The 20,505-nt window shown below is 43.8% G+C and overlaps 1 pseudogene across 1 annotated transcript, besides 4 other annotated features; it reads right to left on the bottom strand.

Annotated features, from left to right (window-relative positions):
- Window positions 140-309: an enhancer, noted in NCBI's record as "experimental_31344 CRE fragment used in MPRA reporter constructs". NCBI's record gives its function as "activates a minimal promoter by MPRAs in K562 erythroleukemia cells, with activity observed for the introgressed 12:98839117 or rs35394561 variant allele {active_cell/tissue: K562}" and the evidence as "EXISTENCE:reporter gene assay evidence [ECO:0000049][PMID:34662402]".
- Window position 225: a transcriptional cis regulatory region, noted in NCBI's record as "Neanderthal adaptively introgressed variant 12:98839117 (GRCh37/hg19 assembly coordinates) or rs35394561 in the experimental_31344 CRE". NCBI's record gives its function as "modulates activity of the experimental_31344 enhancer by MPRAs in K562 erythroleukemia cells {active_cell/tissue: K562}" and the evidence as "EXISTENCE:reporter gene assay evidence [ECO:0000049][PMID:34662402]".
- SLC9A7P1 (solute carrier family 9 member 7 pseudogene 1) lies at window positions 8,726-12,031 on the bottom strand (annotated as a pseudogene). The gene has a single exon (NR_033801.1). The product of NR_033801.1 is annotated as a solute carrier family 9 member 7 pseudogene 1 (transcript).
- Window positions 11,889-12,098: a silencer, noted in NCBI's record as "silent region_4751". NCBI's record gives its function as "represses an Ori minimal core promoter by ATAC-STARR-seq in GM12878 lymphoblastoid cells {active_cell/tissue: GM12878}" and the evidence as "EXISTENCE:reporter gene assay evidence [ECO:0000049][PMID:35858748]".
- Window positions 18,615-18,988: a silencer, noted in NCBI's record as "fragment chr12:98857507-98857880 (GRCh37/hg19 assembly coordinates)". NCBI's record gives its function as "represses an EF-1alpha promoter that drives an FKBP-Casp9 reporter gene in an ReSE screen in both phorbol 12-myristate 13-acetate-treated (for megakaryocytic differentiation) and untreated K562 erythroleukemia cells {active_cell/tissue: K562 | K562(+PMA)}" and the evidence as "EXISTENCE:reporter gene assay evidence [ECO:0000049][PMID:32094911]".

Here is a 20,505-nt window from a genome sequence, read left to right on the forward strand (position 1 = left end):
AGATGGAGTTTTGGTCTTGTAGCCTAGGCTTGAATGCAATGGTGCAATCTCAGCTCACTGCAACCTCTGCCTCTCAGATTCAAGTAATTCTCCTGCCTCAGCCTCCCAAGTAGCTGGGATTACAGGCATGCACCACCACACCCGGCTAATTTTGTATTTTTAGGAGAGATGGGGTTTTATCATGTTGGCCAGGCTGGTCTCAAACTCCTGACCTCAGGTGATCCACCCACCTCATCCTCATAAAATGCTGGGATTACAGGCGTGAGTCACCGCACTCAGCCAATGTGATGGTTAATTTTTGTGTCAACATGACTGGGCCATGGAGTGCCCAGATTAAACATTACTTCTGGTGTGTCTGTGAGGATGTTTCGAGGTGAAAATAACATTTGAATTAGGCCGGGTGCGGTGGCTCACACCTGTAATCCCAGCACTTTGGGAGGCTGAGGCAGGCGGATAACCTGAGGTCAGGAATTTGGTATCAGCCTGGCCAACATGGTGAAACCCCATCTCTACTAAAATTACAAAAATTTTCCTGGCGTGCTGGTGCATGCCTGTAATCCCAGCTACTCAGGAGGGTGAGGCAGGAGAATCGATTGAACCTGGGAGGCAGAAGTTGCAGTGAGCAGAGAGAGATCGTGCCACTGCACTCCAGCCTGGGTGACAGAGCAAGACTCCGTCTCAAAAAAAAAAAAATTAAATTAGTAGGGTAGTAGGGTAGTAAAGCAGATTGCTTTGGGTGGGCTTCATCCAATCTGTTGAAGATCTTAGTAGAATAAAAAGTTGAGAAAAATAATAATAATAATTAGTTCTCTGCCTGTCTTCAAGCTGCAAAGTCAGTCTTCTCCTGCCTTTGGACTTGGACTCAGACTAGAACTTACACTACCAGTGCTCCTGGTTCTCAGGTCTTCAAACTTGGACTGGAAATACATTACCATCTCTCCTGGGTCTCCAGCTTGCTGACTGCAGATCTTGGGACTTCTCTGTCTCCATAATCATGTGAGCTAATTCTTTATAGTAAGTCTCTTGATAGAACTCCTCTTGTTCTGTTTCTCTGGAGAATGCAGACTAACACAGCACCCAAGGCCAGTACATTCAATATACTGATCACATTTGCAGTGGCTCATCTAGGGCCCTTTAAGAACAAAGATCTTCTATTCTCTATGAGCTCTATACTGTGCTTTGTTTCGCTTGATGTCAGACTCCAGCTAAGATTTTACAAGTGAGTTTAGTTCTAATAAGTAAAGAAAGGAGGAAAGCATCCCAGGAGAGAAACTTAGACATAGAAAGGAAGCAAAGCAGATAGGAATGAATAGGGCAGTTGCAGGGAAAAGAGAACAGAGCTACTTGATTGGCACAAAAGGTGGGTGTCCAGGAAGCAGGAGAAAGAAAGTTACCTAAGTAGGACAAATTCTCTAATGCTAGAAAAAAAAAAGTCTGGGCTTGTTGCAATGTATAATAGAGAACTATCAAAATTTCTGTAACTTACAGAGTTTCTGTAAGCATTGGCACATATAAGCGTTTTGTTTTGTTTAAACAAAAATAAATGATAATATCTAATAGATAACATCTTCTAATAGAAGAGAGGAGTCGGGTTGAGAACACCAGCTAGGAATCTGCTACTGAACTTCTATGCCAACTCTACCTTCTGAACAGAACTTGGGAGCTGCAATCTGACAAGTAGGAATGTACATAAGTCAACATAACAGAATATTTGAATTGAGGGCATCCCAGAAAATCTCTAGTTATTGTAAGTACACCAGACATGTGGCAATGAGATGGAATGATTTCTTAACCCTTCCTTCTCTGTCATAACATGTTGTAAGATGAAATCTCCCCCAATCCTTCTGCAATTGGTCCATTTGGAGACAAGCAGGAAATTATTAAGCAGTGGTTGCACCATTGTGAGATTTCATTCTTTCCTGGAGTTGTGTTTTATTTAGACTTCTATTTACAACTAATTTATTTCAAGCAAAACAAAAACAAACATTTTGAACAGGAATAAACTAGTTGGCTTAATTTCCTATAATGCATCACGCTCCCTACTTCATTCTTACTGCACAGTCGGGTCTCCTGGTACCAGCCACACTGAAGGTATTAGTACCTCCCAGGAAAGGCAGTATAATTCCTCTGTGGGAAGATGTTTCTCTCTCTTACACACACACACACACACACACACACACAAAACAATACAACTATTGTATGAGGCAATACAATATTTCTCCCAATTTTCTCAAAGAAATATTCCAAGCTCTTGTCTCCCATCAACCCCCAACTCCTCACCTAAGAAAATCTGAAGTGCCCTCGGGAGCCTGGGGAGAATGACTGAGAGAAAACCCCGACGTGGCTGAGCAGAAAGTAAGCAGCCCATGGGGGCTCCTGTCCCACAGACACCAGGTTTCCTCACTAACCAGTCACATCCTGGCACAGCACGTCCTGCATCCAGAGACCCTCCCCTCTCCCCTGGCTCCAGCCTTTTCTCACTTTTCACTCAGCTAATTTCACCTCCCAGAAGCTCTTCTTTGCACGGACCTGCCTATCTGTATTGCCTCTTCTCCCTTCCCAACCTCTCCCAGCCTCTGGGTGGTTGTCTCATTCCAGAAAATCTTCTGTCAATCATTCTCTTCATGCCTTTTTTTTTTTTTTTTTTTTTTGAGACAGAGTCTCGCTCTGTTGTCCAGGCCAGAGTGCAGCGATGTGATCTCAGCTCACTGCAACCTCTGCCTCTAAGGTTCAAGCGATTCCCCTGCCTCAGCCTCCCGAGTAGCTGGGACTACAGGCATGCGCCACCACACTTAGCTAATTTTTATATTTTTAGTAGAGATGGGGTTTCACCATGTTGGCCAGGCTGGTCTCAAACTCCTGACCTCAAGTGATCTGCCTGCTTCGGCCTCCCAAAGTGCTGGGATTACAGGCATGAGCCACCATGCCCAGCTCCTCATGCCATTTTTGAACTGAGACTAAACTCACTACCTCCAATTAAAAGACCTTAATCCCGACCAATATGCTCAGTAAACAGCAAATGTGGCCATCTCCCTCCTCATTGTCTAAGTGCTTGCTTTTCCTCAAGCATCAACATTCATCTATTTTTACACCCTTTTCTCAGTTTATGTTTCTATTCTTTAAATGTATTCCTTTTGTAAAACTATCATTGGAAATGTTTCTAATTATTTCTAATGACAGTAAAACATTTCTGCTGTATTATGGGCTTCAATGGGCTGGTCTAGGAGTCTTAAACACCATTTTATTGCAGTTTCTACAAGAAAATGTATTTCAAGTTCAAATAGCTGAGTTGTAAACTTTAAAAACACAAACCTTTTAAAATCAGAGAATGCTGATCAATTAGACATTCTGAGACCGTAAGACTTAAGGTAATTGCCTGTTACCAAATAAACAAGATGCATAATTACTTCTTCTTTTAATGGATCTTCTTTCATTCAACGAAGGCCTCCAACTGGTATCTAAACAGGAGTTAGAGCCAGCTGCTGACTTTACCATTGCGAAGAGAAAGCTTTAAAAATACACACAGGGACAAAGAGGAAACAAGACAAGGATGCTAAGGAAAAAGACTGCAAAGAATTTCAAATATAGGAAACAAACAATAACTACGACAGAACACAATGAACAGTGAAAAAATTCTTGAGGATTTTTAATGGAAAGTTAATTGTTATGCAAATATGCATTCACATGTTATTTTGCTTGTTTGTTTGTTTGAGACAGGGTCTTCCTCTGTCGCCCAGGCTGGAGTGCAGTGGCGCAATCTCAGCTCGTTGCCTCCCAGGCTCAAGCGATCCTCCCACTACAGCCTCCTGAGTAGCTGGGACTACAGGCGCCCACCACCACACCCAGCGAATTTTTGTTCTTTGTTTTTTGTTTATTTTAATAGAGACAGCGTTTCGCCATGTTGCCAAGGCTGGTCTCAAACTCCTGAGCTCAAGTGATCCACCCACCTCGGCCTCCCAAAGTGCTGGGATGATAGGCGTGAGCCACCACGCCTGGCAACATTTTATCATTTTTTAATTTTTATTTTTTTGCAGAGAGAGTCTCACTCTGTCGCCCAGGCTGGAGTGCAGTGGCAGGCTCACTGCAGCCTCTGCCTTCCGGGTTCGAGTGATTCTCTTGTCTCAGCCTCCCAAGTAGCTGGGATTACAGGCGTGCGTTACCACGCCCAACTAATTTTTTTCTTTTTTTTTTTGAGACGGAGTCTCGCTCTGTCACCCAGGCTGGAGTGCAGTGGCGCGATCTCGGCTCACCAAAAGCTCCGCCTCCCGGATTCATGCCATTCTCCTGCCTCAGCCTCCCAAGTAGCTGGGACTACAGGCGCCTGCCACCATGCCCTGCTAATTTTTTTGTATTTTTTAGTAGAGATGGGTTTTCACTGTGTTAGCCAGGATGGTCTCAATCTCCTGACCTCGTGATCCGCCCGCCTCGGCCTCCCAAAGTGCTAGGATTACAGGCGTGAGCCAGTGCACCCGGCCAAGCTGGGCTAGTTCTTTTAGCCTATCCTGAGTTGGGTAAGGGCACAGAATCTTTAAGTATGAATATTGTAAATTATGTAAATAAGTATGAATATTGGCAAGATGGATTTATACCTCCACATAGGCCAGTCATTGGATGCAGCTGCCCCTAGGAGGAGGGTAGAACTTTGAGTAAGGTGGTTCTCTTCAGCCACAGGCAGTTCCTGGAAACTGCCAGCTGCTGGAGAGTGTCAGCCAACTATAATCCCAGCAGCTGGAGGGGTAAGTCCTTCAGTCCTGGAGGGAGCATCTGTGTGGTGCAACAATTACCTACAGCTCTCTCCCCAGTAAAAACCTCCGACGATACATAATTTATTTATTCCCTTCTGTGTTTTCAGCAATATGCTAGGCCCTAGAGTCACCTCTCCTCTAATGGTAAGCGTCAGTTAATGAAAAGAAAGAGAGAGAAGCAAATCTAAATATTTGGTCATTTTTAATATTGAAAGTCTCATATTTTTTTTCCTTGCTTTTCTGAGATGGATGGCTCCTGTGATACCTTTTCTTTTAAAAGATATTTTTCTGATGATACAATTAATTCTCCATCCACTTCTAATAAAATAATTTACAATAAACTAGGAAAAGATATTTTCTTTTTCTTTTCTTTTTTTTTTTTAGATAGAGTCTCACTCTGTCACCCAGGCTGGAGTGCAATGGTGTGATTTCAGCTCACTGCAACCTCCACCTTCCGGATGCAAGCAATTCTCCTGCCTCAGCCTCCCAAGTAGCTGGGATTACAGATGCCCACCACCACGCCCAGCTAATTTTTGTATTTTTAATCGAGACAAGGTTTCACTATGTTGGCCAGGCTGGTCTCAAACTCCTGACTTCAGGTGATCTGCCCGCCTCAGCCTCCCAAAGTGCTGGGATTACAGGTGTGAGCCACCACACGCAGCCTGAAAAGGGGTTTCTAACAAAAACCTAAAACAAGTCTTGTTCTTTTTTTAAATTTGACTCTTTGTAGAATTTAACTCTTTTATTATGGAAATTTTCAAACATACACAAGCATAGAGAAAATAGATTAATGGCCGCTATGGACCTGTCACTCATCTTCAACAATAATCAACATTTTGCCAATCTCCAAACATTATTCTGAAGAACAAAACATTAGACCACATCTCCATAGAACTCAGAAACAACACATAATGATGCTTACTTTTATCATCAATAGTAGACATTTTCCTAGAGTTACCAGGCAACGTAAAAATACCAGAAAAAAAAGAAATAAGTATGAATATTGGCAAGGTAGATTTATACCTAGAAAATCCAGTGAATCACATAAATCTATATGGGCTAATAAAAACTTTCAGAAAGGAAACAAGATTAACATATAAAAATCTACAGCTTTTCTAAAATCAGAAAAAATCTATTTAAATATGTAATAGAAAAGAAAGCTATATGCAATTTCAATAGACCTTGGGTTACCTAGGAAAAAAAACTTACAAATATGAAAGCTGTTGCCAGGCATGGTAGCTCATGCCTGTAACCCTAGCACTTTGGGAGGCTGACATGGGCGGATCACCTGAGTCCAGGAGTTCAAGAACAGCCTGGGCAATGTAGCGAAACCCAGTCTCTACAAAAAATCAGCCAGGTGTGGTGGCACATGCCTATAGTCCCAGCTACTTGGGAGGCTGCGGTGGGAGGATCACCTGGGCCTAGGAAGTTGAGTGAGCAGAAATTGTGCCACTCCACTCCAGCCTGGGTGACAGAGTGAGACCCTGTCTCAAAAAAAAAGAAAAGAAAATTCTTGAGGATAACCATATAATTTTAATGAAGGCCATAAAAGATATTTCTAGATGAAAAGACTCAATAATATACAGATATTATGCCCCCAAATTAAATAATAAATGTAATATAATTTTATCAAAATTCCAACAGCATATTTTATAGAATTGGCAAGTTAATTTTAAAGTTCATCTATGAGTTGGGCCAAAAAAAGTTAAGATTCATTAGAGAAAGAACTTTACCAGATGTTAACTATGTTGTAAAGTCACAATAATTGAAATAGTACTGTGAAAAACAGACCAATGGATCAATACAATAGAATTTAAAAGTCCAGAAAAATATATATACACACACACACATATATGTGTCCATTTGTGTGTATGTGTGTGTGTGTGTGTGTGTGTGTGTGTGTGTAATCTTAGTATATGTTAAAGGAGACATTTAAAATCACTTGGGAAATGACAGACTAATAGAGAGTGTTGGGACAAGGAGCTATCCATTTGGAAGAAAAAAAGTAAATTAAATCCCTTTCTCAGACTGGGCACAGTGGCTCATGCCTGTGATCCCAGCACTTTCGGAGGCCAAGGGGGGCAGAATGCCTGAGGTCAGGAGTTTGAGACCAGCCTGGCCAACATGGTGAAACCCTGTCTCTACTAAAAATACAAAAAATAGCTGGGCGTGGTGGCCGGTGCCTGTAATCCCAGCTACTCAGGGACAAGAGAATCGCTTGAACAAAGGAAAGGAGGCAGAAGTTGCAGTGAGCCAAGATGGCGCCACTGCACTCCAGCCTGGGCAACAGAGTAAGACTCCATATCAAAAAAAAAAAAAAAAAAAAAAAAAAACAAATCCCTTTCTCATACCATACATAAAAATAAATTCCAGTTTGTTTGTTTGTTTGAGACAGGTTCTCACTCTGTTGCCCAGACTGGTTTCCAGTGGTATGATCTTGGCTCACTGCATCCTCTGCCTCTTGGGTTCAAGCGATCCTCCCACCTCAGCCTCCCAATCACCTAGAACTGAACTAAAGGTATGTGCCACCATGCCTGTCTCATTTTTGTATTTTTGTAGAGACAGAGTTCTGCCATGTTGCTCAGTCTGGTCTCAAACTCCTGAGCTCAAGCGATCCTCCTGCTTCAGCCTCCCAAAGTGTTGGGATTATGGGTGTAAGCCACTGTGCCCGGCCTCAATTTTATTTTATTGAACCATATGAAATTGCCACTCCTGTTTTTACAAAATGGTTGAATATCAGCAAATTCATATGGCTCAACTTAATTAAATATATATTTTCCTGATTTGCACAAATTATCAATTCAAACACAAAGTTATGACGCAGGCCGGGCATGGTGGCTCATGCCTGTAATCCTAGCACTTCGGGAGGCCAAGGCAGGTGGATCACCTGAGGTCAGCAGTTCAAGACCAGCCTGGCCAACATGGCAAAACCCCATCTCTACTAAAAATACAAAATTAGCCAGGTGTGGTGGTGGGTGCCTGCAATCCCAGCTACTAGGGAGGCTGAGGCAGGAGAATCACGTGAACCTGGGGGCGCAGAGATTGCAGCGAGCCGAGGTTGCACGACTGCACTCCAGCCCGGGCGAAAGAGCAAGACTCCATCTCAAAAAAAAAAAAAAAAAAAAAAGATGTGAAGCAATGTCTTATTTAAAAATTAACCATTAAACATGCAAATTGAGAAGATTAAATGGCTGATTTCATTATGGTAGACTAGACTGGGACACTATTTTTTCTGCCATAATAAGAAAATGCCCACATTATTGAAAGCATTTTTTAGAAATTGGGTTGCCAAAAAAATGCTATTGCTGAAGCACAGAAACATGGGGAGAAACTCAAACTTTTCCGGAGAGATCTTTCAGTATTTCAGCACTACAGGTGTGGGCGGACAGAACAGCTCATCCAGAAAGAACCCAAACTGAAAACCTAACTTTCAAATCACACCCACATGGTAGGCTGGTGAAGCAGCCTCCCCAGATAAAGGGAAAATGACCCTTCTCTGCACCGCACTCAATGGCATAAAGACACTTAGATTCTTAAACTTATAGAAGACAGGACCTTCTAGTGGGTTGAAAATACTTAACGTTCCATTGACTTCCCACTGATTCCTCATGTGGCCACTGAAATCTCATGCATTCGACAGCTCAAAGTTCAGAATTCTACCCGGTCTTGAGACTACCATCTTGTATTTCTTTGCAGTTAATTTTTTGCATAGAGATTTCTTTCCCTCTGATTTCTAGCCTGTTGCCTTGTAGGTTTCTTGCTGCCTTCTCTTCCCCAGATAATAGCATCCTACAAAATTTGGTGTTATTTCTAAACCCACAGTAGATACCTCAGTCTTACTAATTATTTCCTAGGCTGTCAGCTCATATGGTAGCCCTCAAAAGTTTAATGCTTTTTGCAGTGATACCATCATCAGTTTCTAAATACCTCCTTTCTTCAGATTAACTAAAAATTAACAGTGTAACACTATTTGCCTTTGGTTTATTTTATATTATTTTATTTATTTATTTATTTTTTGAGAGAAGTCTCACTCTTGTTCCCCACGTTTGAGTGCAGTGGCTTTATCTGGGCTCACTGCAACCTCAGCCTCCTGGGTTCAAACGATTCTCCTGCCTCTGCCTCCCAAGTAGCTGGGATTAAGGTGCTTGCCACCACGCCTGGCTAATATTTGTATTTTTTAGTAGAGACGGGGTTTCACCATGTTGGCCAGGCTGGTCTTGAACTCCTGACCTCAGATGATGCGCCGGCCTCGGCCTCCCAAAGTGCTGGGATTACAGGCGTGAGCCCCCACACCCGGTCTGGTTTTAAACATATCATAATTACTTCTTTATGGACATCTCCAGAGAAGGAACTATAATTCTTTGTTTCATGTTGAAATGTTCATGGATATATTTTCAAATCTTCAGTCTAGAAGAAACACAGGTAGCATAAAAGTCAGGAATCCTGATATGAGGTTGCAGTCACACAGCCTTCCTTGCCAGAGCCTCCACTCATATTATTTTTTCATGTTTTCTGTTCCATTTAACAACAGTTTCCCATAATCCTTGGAGGTCCTATCTCAATTGCCTTCCTTCTCAATCTTTCTTCCAGCCTGTTCTCCCCTAACTTGATATTTCTATGGTCAGCTTGACTTGCACCACTGTGTACTGAGATGCAACCTCTTGTAAGAGGAAGCCCCCCACTCAGCACCTGCCCTGCCTTGTTCAGACACTGCAGGTGAATGAATTAAGAGACCATTAAAGTATGCTATTTTTTTGTTTGTTTAACTCTGAAACAGCGCACTACTGTGTGAAAAAAAGTAGAAATAGGTCTACATTTGTCTGAATTTAGAGACACTTTTGCCTCACCATCTGCATCATGAGTTAAATTTTAAGTGTTACAATAACTTCAGACCCCAATAAAATAGAAGAGTTAATTCAATCTAGTCACTGCCCCACCTCAAGCAACATTAGGGCTTGAAGCCATCCTCACCCCATTGGGAGCCTACCCCATCGTGCCAGGGTTTGCAGGGAAAGTCAAACATTATCTTCCAGAGGAAACACTAGGCGGGTACCCTGGCTCGAAACCTTCTGGTTTCCCATTCCCACGTCCTGCTCCAGCACTTCCTCTGAGCTGCTCTTCATTCTCCAGCTGCCCTCCAGACTCGTGGAGGCAGTGTGGGAACCTGAGAAGCCATTTGCAGTCACTGTGCTGTCCCCATAGGTCAATGTGAGGTCGCCTTCAGTCAGAATAAAATCAGAGTTTCCCTCTCTCAGTGGCTCTTGGTTATCGTACACCTGGGGACTGGTCAGACATCAAGCTAGCAAGCTACACCAGGCGGGAGAGTGGTGGTTGGCGGGGAGCCGCTTTGTCTACACCAGGCAGGAGAGTGGTGGTTAGCGGGGAGCCGCTGTGTCTCCACCAGGCGGGAGAGTGGTGGTTAGCGGGGAGCCGCTGTGTGTGAGGATGGGCTTCAGGTAATTGTGATCAAAGCTGTACCACCGCCTGAATATCCATGTGCTCTCCTGTTTTGTCCAGTTTCCTCTGGCAGAATCTGGGCTGTCCCCTTGTAAGACTTGAAAGCTGTCATTGTTGGGTGGTGGATCTTGATCAGGGTCAACACCAACTCTGAAGTACTGTCGGTGGTGTTCGTTGTGGTCCTCTTTGGAGGGCTCCTTGATGCTAACTCTGATATTAAGCCATGACAACATGGGTGTCGTGCCTCCTCCAATGATCCAGATGGTGAAGAACACGATGAAAGGCGTGGTGGGGAACGTCATCTGGCGAGCATAGGATGCCGTGTCACAGATGGCCAACGCAAATGCCATTGCTCCCCTGAGGCCTGAAAACATCATCGTGTGTTGAAAATTCCAGCCAATCTTATGCCTTCTGCCCAAGCTGAGGAAGAAAGAGAGCGGGTAGATATGGGCGGCTCTGCCCAGGAAGACAGCAACAAAAGCTCCAATGATGAAAACAGGGCTGAAAACGTGCTTCTGGAAGGTAAATAGCGCCAGGATCATGCAGGAGAAGATGAAGTTCTCTGCCTCAAAGAGCTGCTTGCTTCGACTTCTTGATTCCACCGACAGATTGTTGAAGGTGTAATGAGCTTGTGTGATTCCACAGAAAAGGACAGCTACAACGCCTGTAAATCCGCAAGCTTCTGCCAAGAGAAACGTGCTCCAGGACATGAGGAAGAAGAGCGCCGTCTCCAGCAGGGGAAAGCAGTCCAGTTTGGTAAACTTGGTCACTAAAGCAGTCACAACACCAGTCACAGCTCCCATGGTAAAACAGCCACTAAATATACCTAGAAAAATGCCAACTGACTTTAAAAAGGCAGCAGCATCAAAGGCGTGAGTTGAAGTTCAGTCCTGCTGGCTGGTAGCCAACAATAGATGAGGAAAGTACAACATAACAACGTCATTTAGGATGCTCTCTCCAAACAGAAGTACATAAAGATCCATGTCTGCATGCAATTCATTGATATCACCAGCACAGTCACTGGGTCAGTGGCAGAGATGATTGCTCTAAAAAAGAGACAATGTGTGTAGTAAAATTTATCTGAGAGCTGTCTCATAATCCTCATGAGCTTCACCATACCATACCTGAGATTTCCAATACGGAAGCACGAAACAGCAGTCCCCAAGAAGGAGTGACCCAAGATTTCTAAAAAAGTGTCTCTTTAAGCTGTATCCAGCATGGAAAATAACTGGAGGCAGAAGAATGTTGAAAAATACCTATGGGTCGAATGTTACCTTCCCTAGCATGTCATTCTGCTTTACGCTGTTGATCTTGCCAGGGCTGATTTCTCTTTTCAGGGTGTATTCGAAGAATTTACCGCTGACATCCACTACTAAAGTGCTGAAGGCCTGATCTTCTTGAGTGCAATTGAGTAATTTGTCACGGCCCCTGGTGCCAGGGGTACCATACCTCAGGATCACCCCAACGATGAGCCCACAGATCATGGCCAGCCCGGTCTCATGCAGAAAGTGCACCCGGCAGTACTTGAAGAGCCATATGGTGAGGATGGCCAGCGTGAGCAGCAGGATGAAGGTGAGCAGGCTCACACTGTCTGGCCGGTGGCTCTCTTCCGCCTCCTTCTCAGTGACGAGCTCCTCCATGGCGCTGCTGTTCTCGACCGCCGCCCCAGAGGAGGAGGCCGAGGCCTCGGCCGTTACTCGAAGTCCCCTACCCAGCAGCAGCGGCAGCAGCAGCAGCAGCCGCCGCGGCGGCGCCTGGGCAACCCGACCCGGGCAGGGGAGCGCCGCGTCACCAGGCTCCGTGGTCCCGGAGCCGCCCACGCCTCCTCTGCCCGGGGACCAGCAGCACCGCCGACCTGCGCGAGTGGCCGCAGCCACCGCAGCTCCTCCTCCTACTCGCGCCGGGCCGGGACTGGGCCCAGAGCAGCGCCTCCAATTGTATTTAAAATGTAGTTTTTAGAAGAATAACCAAGGCCGGGAGCAGTGGCCCACGCCTGTAATCCTAGCACTTTGGGAGAGTGAGGGGGGTGGATCACCTGAGGTCAGGAGATCAAGACCAGCCTGGCCAACATGAGGAAACCCCCGTCTCCACTGAAAATACAAAAAAAAAAAAAAAAAAAAAAAAAAAAAATGGGAAAGGATTCCCTATTTAATAAATGGTGTTGAGAAAACTGGCTAGCCATATGTAGAAAGCTGAAACTGGATCCCTTCCTTACACCTTATACAAAAATTAATTCAAGATGGATTAAAGTCTTAAATGTTGGACCTAAAACCATAAAAACCCTAGAAGAAAACCTAGGCATTACCATTCAGGACATAGGCATGGGCAAGGACTTCATGTCTAAAACACCAAAAGCAATGGCAACAAAATCCAAAATTGACAAATGGGATCTAATTAAACTCAAGAGCTTCTGCACAGCAAAAGAAACTACCATCAGAGTGAACAGGCAACCTACAGAATGGGAGAAAATTTTCGCAACCTACTCATCTGACAAAGGGCTAATATCCAGAATCTACAATGAACTCAAACAAATTTACAAGAAAAAAACAAACAACCCCATCAAAAAGTGGGCAAAGGACATGAACAGACACTTCTCAAAAGAAGACATTTATGCAGCCAAAAAACACATGAAAAAATGCTCACCATCACTGGCCATCAGAGAAATGCAAATCAAAACCACAATGAGATACCATCTCACACCAGTTAGAATGGCCATCATTAAAAAGTCAGGAGACAACAGGTGCTGGAGAGGATGTGGAGAAATAGGAACACTTTTACACTGTTGGTGGGACTGTAAACTAGTTCAACCCTTGTGGAAGTTAGTGTGGCGATTCCTCAGGGATCTAGAACTAGAAATACCATTTGACCCAGCCATCCCATTACTGGGTATATACCCAAAGGACTATAAATCATGCTGCTATAAAGACACATGCACACATATGTTTAGTGTGGCACTATTCACAATAGCAAAGACTTGGAACCAACCCAAATGTCCAACAATGATAGACTGGATTAAGAAAATGTGGCACATATACACCATGGGATACTATGCAGCCATAAAAAATGATGAGTTCATGTCCTTTGTAGGGACATGGATGAAATTGGAAATCATCTTTCTCAGTAAACTATCACAAGAACAAAAAACCAAACACTGCATATTCTCACTCATAGGTGGGAATTGAACAATGAGAACACATGGACACAGGAAGGGGAACATCACACTCTGGGGACTGTTGTGGGGGGAGCGGAGAGGGGAGGGATAGCTTTAGGAGATATACCTAATGCTAAATGACAAGTTAATGGGTGCAGCACACCAGCATGGCACATATATACATATGTAACCTGCACATTGTGCACATGTACCCTAAAACTTAAAGTATAATAATAATAATAAAATAAAAAAATACAAAAATAAAATTTAGCCGGGCATGGTGACGGGTGCCTGTAATCCTAGCTACTCAGGAGGCCGAAGCAGGAGAATCACTTGAACCCTGGAAGCGGAGGTTGCAGTGAGCCGAGATGGCACCATTGCACTCCAGCCTGGGCAAAAAGAGCGAAACTCTGTCTCAAAAAAAAAAAAAAGAATAACAGAAAAAATGTGAGAAAATATATTTAAAACCTTGGAGGGAGAAAGCTATCTTAACAAAACAGAGAGCCAAATGCATTCACGTATGACAGAAGGTACAAAAAGTCGAGAAGTAACTGAATTATTACATAAAATATTTGCAACTGGTGTAACAAAATTTTATACCTCACTTTATTTTGTTTTTTAATTTTAGTTATGGAGATGGAGTTTTGCTCTTGTTGCCCAGGCTGGAGTGCAATGGCGCCATCTCGGCTCACTGCAACCTGCACCTCCTGGGTTCAAGTAATTCTCTTGCTTCAGCCTCCCAAGTAGCTGGGATTACAGGCACGTGCCACCACGCCCAGCTAATTTTTGTATTTTAAGTAGAGACGGGGTTTCACCATGTTGGCCAGGCTGGTCTTGAACTCCTGACCTAGGTGATCCACCTGCCTTGGCCTCCCAAAGTGCTGGGATTACAGGTGTGAACCATCGCTCCCGGCCTATTTTATTATTTATACATATTATATATATAACATTTTATCTGAATTATCTAAATTTAGCTGAATATTTTAGATATATGTTTATATAAAGAACCTATTGATCAGGCCAGGCGCATGGCACACGCCTGTAATCCCAGCACTTTGGGAGGCTGAGGCAGACAGATCACCTGAGGTCAGGAGTTCAAGACCACCTGGCCAACATGGCAAAACCCTGTCTCTACTAAAAATACAAAAAAATTAGCTGGATGTAGTGGTGAGCACCTGTAGTCCCAGCTACTCGGGAGGCTGAGGCAGGAGAATTGCTTGAACCCGGGAAGCAGAGGCTGCAGTGAGCTAAGATTGTGTCACTGCACTCCAGCCTGGGCAACAGAGCGAGACTCCGTCTTAAAGAAAAAAAAGAACATATCGATCAATAAGAAACAACCCAGTAGAAAATCTACTATTCAATTAAAAATAACCCAGTTAAAAAATGGGTAAAGCATATAAACAATTTGCAGATTTGTTTATATTTGTTTACATTGCAGATTTGACAAGATACAAATGTTCAAAACCACATATAAAATGTGAATAAAACAAATTAATAAAATGAGATATAAATCAAGTTAATAAAATCAGTGAATGAAATATGAGATATCAGTTTTTGACCATGACTTTAAATCAGAAATTGAGAAGAGTCTGCAGTTTTACCCTACCTGCAAGCTAACAACTTTTAGCCTACCACAGTTTTTGGGTTTGGTTTTGTTTTCTTTTTTGAGATGGATTCTCACTCTGTTGCCCAGCAAGGAGCGCAGTGGCATGATCTCGGCTCACTGCAACCTTTGCCCGCCTCCCAAGCTTCAAGCAATTCTCCTGACTCAGCCTCCTGAGTAGCTGGGATTATAGGCATCTGCCACCACATCCAGCTAATTTTTGTATTTTTAGTAGAGACGGGGTTTCACCATGTTGGCCAGGCTGGTCTCAAACTCCTGACCTCTGGTGATCCACCCACCTTGGCCTCCCAAAGTGCTGGGATTACAGGCGTGAGCCACCATGCCCGGCCCACAGTTTTTATGTATATTTGCTGACAGAAGATAAAACTCCTAGAAAAACAAGATGCTCTGATCAACAAATACATGTATAAAATCTGTTTGGTGCTTATGTTCCTAATTTTAAGTTAATTAATTGGCATTCTGGTATATGCAACAGTCTCTTACAAGTTTGGTTAGAATGAGTCAGTTGCCAAGATCAACTCTGAATACTAATTAACTGATAAAGTGAAATCCTTGCACCTGCAAGACCAAGAACTAAGAGGACTCAAGGTACTGTCAACCTATCTGGACAGCCTTTCCCAAAGACATCTACCTCTCTGACCCCTTGCATGCCTTCATCAAACCAAAACATTTTCAGCTGTTTCTCTCTTGCGACTATTTCCAACCTCTGTCATCATCGTAGTTATTTCCATTTCTCAGTATCTCTGTTAAAAGGTATCATCCGGGCTGGGCGCGGTGGCTCACGCCTGTAATCCCAGTACTTTGGGAGGCCAAGGCAGGTGGATCACCTGAGGTCAGGAGTCGAGATCAGCCTGGCCAACATGGTGAAACCTCATCTCTGCTAAAAATACAAAAAATTAGCCGGGTGTGATGGTGGGCACCTGTAATCCCACTACTAGGGAGGCTGAGGCAGTAGAATCGCTTGAACCCAGGATACAGAGGTTGCAGTGAGCCGAGATTGTGCCACTGCACTCCAGCCTGGGCAACAAGAGTGAAACTCCGTCTCAGCAAAAATAAAAAATAAAATGTATCATTCAAATTTGAACACAATACTGCAGATGCAATCAAAACAGCACAGAATATATGCACTGGATGCCATTTTTGTATAAATGTACCCTAAATCTGAATTTAGGGCCTTTTGCAAGCTGCTATACTTGTAGAATCCTATCAAGCTTGTATATAACTCCAACTTCCAAGTCTTTTTCACATAGGAAGGTAACACAGTAAAAGCAGATGAGAGCTTATACTGTGGATTCATACTTCCTGAGTTTGAATTCCTGCTCTGCCATGGGCTGACTGTGTAACCAAGGGCAAGTCGCTTAATCTCTCTAAGCCTTAGTTTGCTCATCTGTAAAATAGTAATGATGAGCATACCTGCCTCAAAGCGTTGTTGTAAAGATTAAGTAAATTGCCTTAATTAAAATACTCTGTACATGGCCGGGCAGGTGGCTCACGCCTGTAATCCCAGCACTTTGGGAGGCCGAGGCAGGCGGATCACAAGGTCAGGAGATCGAGACCATCCTGGCTAACATGGTGAAACCCCATCTCTACTAAAAATACAAAAAATTAGCCAGGCGTGGTGGCAGGTGCCTGTAGTCCCAGCTACTCGGGAGGCTGAGGCAGGAGAATGGCGTGAACCCAGGAGGCGCAGCTTGCAGTGAGCGGAGATTGTGCCACTGTACTCCAGCCTAGGTGACAGAGCGAGACTCCGTCTCAAAAAAAAAAAAATACTCTGTACAGGGCTGGGTGTGGTGGCTCATACCTATAATCCCAGTACTTTGTGAGGCCAAGGTGGGAGGATTGCTTGAGCCCAGGAGTTTGAGACCAGCTTGGGGAATATAGCAAGACCCCATCTTTACAAAAAAAAAAAATCCAAAAAATTAGCTGGGCATGGTGGCACATGCCTGTAGTCTCAGCTACTCGGGAGGCTGAGGTGCGAGGACTGCTTGAGTTCAAGAGGTCGAGGCTGCAGTGACCCATGTTCAGGCCACTGCACTCCAGCCTGGGTGACAGAGGAAGACCCTGTCTCAAAAATAAAATAAAACACTTGGTACAATGCTGATCATATCCCATGAATCCTAGTTGTATGGTTATATTTCATCATACTTAATCCTCCCAGGAATTCTATGGGGTATATATTACTGCATCCACTTTACAGATGAGAAATCTGAGGTTTGTAGAGTTTAAGTAGTTTGCCTGAGGTCAACTAACTGCTAAATGGCAGAGCCAGCCAAAGTTGTAACAAGACCTGCCTGACACCAAAGACCAAGTTCTTTCTCTTGTACCATTTAGGAACCCTCTTCCCCTTCCTGTGTTTCTACTTTTTTTTTTTCTGACAGAGTCTTTCAACCTCCCAGACTCAAGCGATCCTACCACCACAGCCTCTGAGTAGGTAGGACCACAGGAGCATACCACCATACCTGGCTAATTTTTGTTGTGTTTTCTGGTTTTGGGAGGTTTTTTTTGGTAGAGATAGGGTTTTGCCATGTTGCCCAGGCCAGTCTCAAACTCCTGGGCTCAAGCAATCCATCTACCTTGGCCTCTCCAAGTTCTGGGATTACAGGCATGAGCCACTGCTCCTGGTCTCTACATTTTTTAAGCTTTCACATAGCACAATACAGAGGTTAAGAACAAAAGCTCAGCCAGGCTTGGTGGCTCACGCCTGTAATCCCAGCACTTTGGGAGGCCCAGGTGGGTGGATTACCTGAACTCAGGAGTTCAAGGCCAGCCTGACCAACACGGCAAAACCCCATCTCTACTAAAAAATACAAAAATTAGCCAGGCATGGTGGCGCACACCTGTAATCCCAGCTACTAGGGAGGCCAAGGCAGGAAGAATTGCTTGAACCTGGGAGGCGGAGGTTTCAGTGAGCTAAGATCGCACTACTGCACTCCAGCCTGGGGGACAGAGCGAGACTCCATCTCACAAAAAAGAACAAAAGCTCCAGGCTGGGTGCAGTGGCTCACACCTGTAATCCCAGAACTTTGGGAGGCCGAGGCAGGAGCACTTGAGCCCAGGGGTTCTAGGGCAGCCTGGGCAGCATATGGAGACTCTATCTCTACAAAAAATTTTAAAATTTGCCAGGTATGGTGGTGTGCACCTGTAGTCCCAGCTCCCAGCTACTTGGGAGGCTGAGGTGGGACGATCTGCTTGAGCCTGAGAGGTCGAGGATATAGTGAGCCATGATCATGCCACTGCACTCCAGTCTGGGTGACAGAGCAAGACCTTTTCTCAAAAAAAGAGAGAGAGAAAAGAGTGCCAGCTCTAGGGATAGACTGCCTTGTTCGATGATCTTGAATGAACTATTTAATCTCTATTTACAAAATCTGGGACAAGTCACTTAACTTCATCAAGTCAGTTTCCCCATCTGTAAAATAAGAATTTTAATAGTAATATCGGCCGGGTGCAGTGGTTCATGCCTGTAATTCCAGCACTTTGGGAGGCTGAGGTGGGTGGCCTGAGGTCAGGAGTTCAAGACCAGCCTGGCCAACATGGTGAAACCCCATCTCTACTAAAAATTCAAAAATTAGCCAGGCATGGTGGCAGGTGCCTGTAATCCCAGCTACTCAGGAGGCTGAGACAGGAGAATTGCTTGAACCCAGGAGGCGGAGGTTGCAGTGAGCCAAGATTCTGCCACTGCCCTCCAGCCGGGGTGACAGAGCCAGAGTCCACCTCAAAAAAAAAAAAAAAAGGCATTTTAATAGCAATATCTACACTCAGGAGTTTCAGCGCTGATTAAATGAGATAACATCTAACACAGTGCCTAACCATTTGCTAGGAAACAGTAGATTTTAGCTCTATTATTCCCTCTCCATTTCACCTTGCTGGTTTCAGCCAAGTGCTTAGACTGGTCAAAGTAATTCTGAATCCCAGAAAATCCATGCAACTCCTGATGATCAAAAAATATTCTCTTTTAAGTGCTCACATATCATCTGCTTAGTAAACCATCCTAGAGTGTTTCTAGAAATTAACATTGAATTTACAAAGGTTTTTCCTACATCTAAGATAGAAGTCAGATTGTATCTAGAGTTCTTTCCCTCACTTTTATGAACTGTGACATGATCATATTGAAGAGGGAGAAATGAAGGACATTGTAACTCATTAAATGCATAAGACCCAGAAATAATAGAAAGTTGACTTCAGCTGTGATTCATCAGAGGTTCTTTGCATCAGTTCCTACCACTTTATCGCAATTCACTTCCCATATTGCTCAGCCCTATATATTTATCACTGGCAACCCACATTTGAGGCCAATGATTACAAAATGTTCTTTTGTACATCAACCCAGCTGCCAGGAGCCCACCCCCACCCCCACACTCAGCAGAGCTGGTTCAGATAACTAAGCTTTTGATATTTCAAGGCTGAAGGAAAAGGAACTCAATCCCCACATAAGTCCTGTGAGATATTTATTACTGTTCCCATTTTACTGCTGAGGAAGATGGGGCTTCTCAAGGCTATTATTCATATTTTATCCAAAGTCACAGAGTTATTAGGAATGCAGATCGCTGTTGACCTAGATCTCCCACCATGCCACTACAGGTTGAAGGAGCCACAGGCTGCAAACAGCAATGTTTTCCCAAACTGCTTATCCAGCCATGAACCACCCACAGCATTTTTGCAATATCTCCCTACCTCCTATGAAATTACTTACTTAATTTTTTTAATCAATGCACTTTTTGCTGCCTAAATAAATTTAGGGACTATTAGTCTAAACACTAGCAACTCAGAAATCACAGGTTTTATAACACCATCATGTTTATTTTGTGTAATATATTTTTAAATGGCCAGGCACAATAGCTCACGCCTGTAATCCCAGCAATTTGGGATACCAAGGCAGGAGGATCGCTTAAGGCAGGAGGATTGCTTGAGCCCAACAGTTTGAGACCAGTCTGGGCAACATAGAGAGACCCCGTCTCTACAAAAAAAAAAAAAAAAAAAATTGTTTTAATTAGCTGGGCATGGTGGTTCATGCCTGTAGTCCCAGCTACTTAAGAGACTGAGGTGGGAGGATTTCTTGAGCCTGGGAGGTTGAAACTACAGTGAGCCGTGATCTTGCCATTGCACTCCAGCCTGGGAGACAGAGTGAGACCATGTCTCAAAAATAAATAAATAAATGCATTAGATTCCTAGGGCTACCATAACAAATCATTACAAACCAAGTGGCTTAAAACAACAGAAATGTATTCTCTTACAGTTCAGGGGGCCAGAAGTCCAAAATCAAGGTGTTGATTTTCTGGAGGTTCTCAGGGAAAAATTGTCTGATGCCTTTTTCCTGGCTTCTTGGTGTTCTCGGCTTATAGGCATCATTCCAATCTCTATCTCCATAGTCACATGACCTTTTTCTCCCTGTGTGTCTTTGTGTCCAAATATCCCTCTTATTTCTTTTATAAAGATACCAGAGATCAAGATCCTTATTTAATTACATCTGCAAAGGCCCTATTTCCAAATAAGGTCACATTCTGAGGTTCGGGTTAGACATAAATTTTGAG

The sequence above is a fragment of the Homo sapiens genome, chromosome 12, assembly GCF_000001405.40.
Source record: "Homo sapiens chromosome 12, GRCh38.p14 Primary Assembly".
Taxonomy (NCBI): domain Eukaryota; kingdom Metazoa; phylum Chordata; class Mammalia; order Primates; family Hominidae; genus Homo; species Homo sapiens.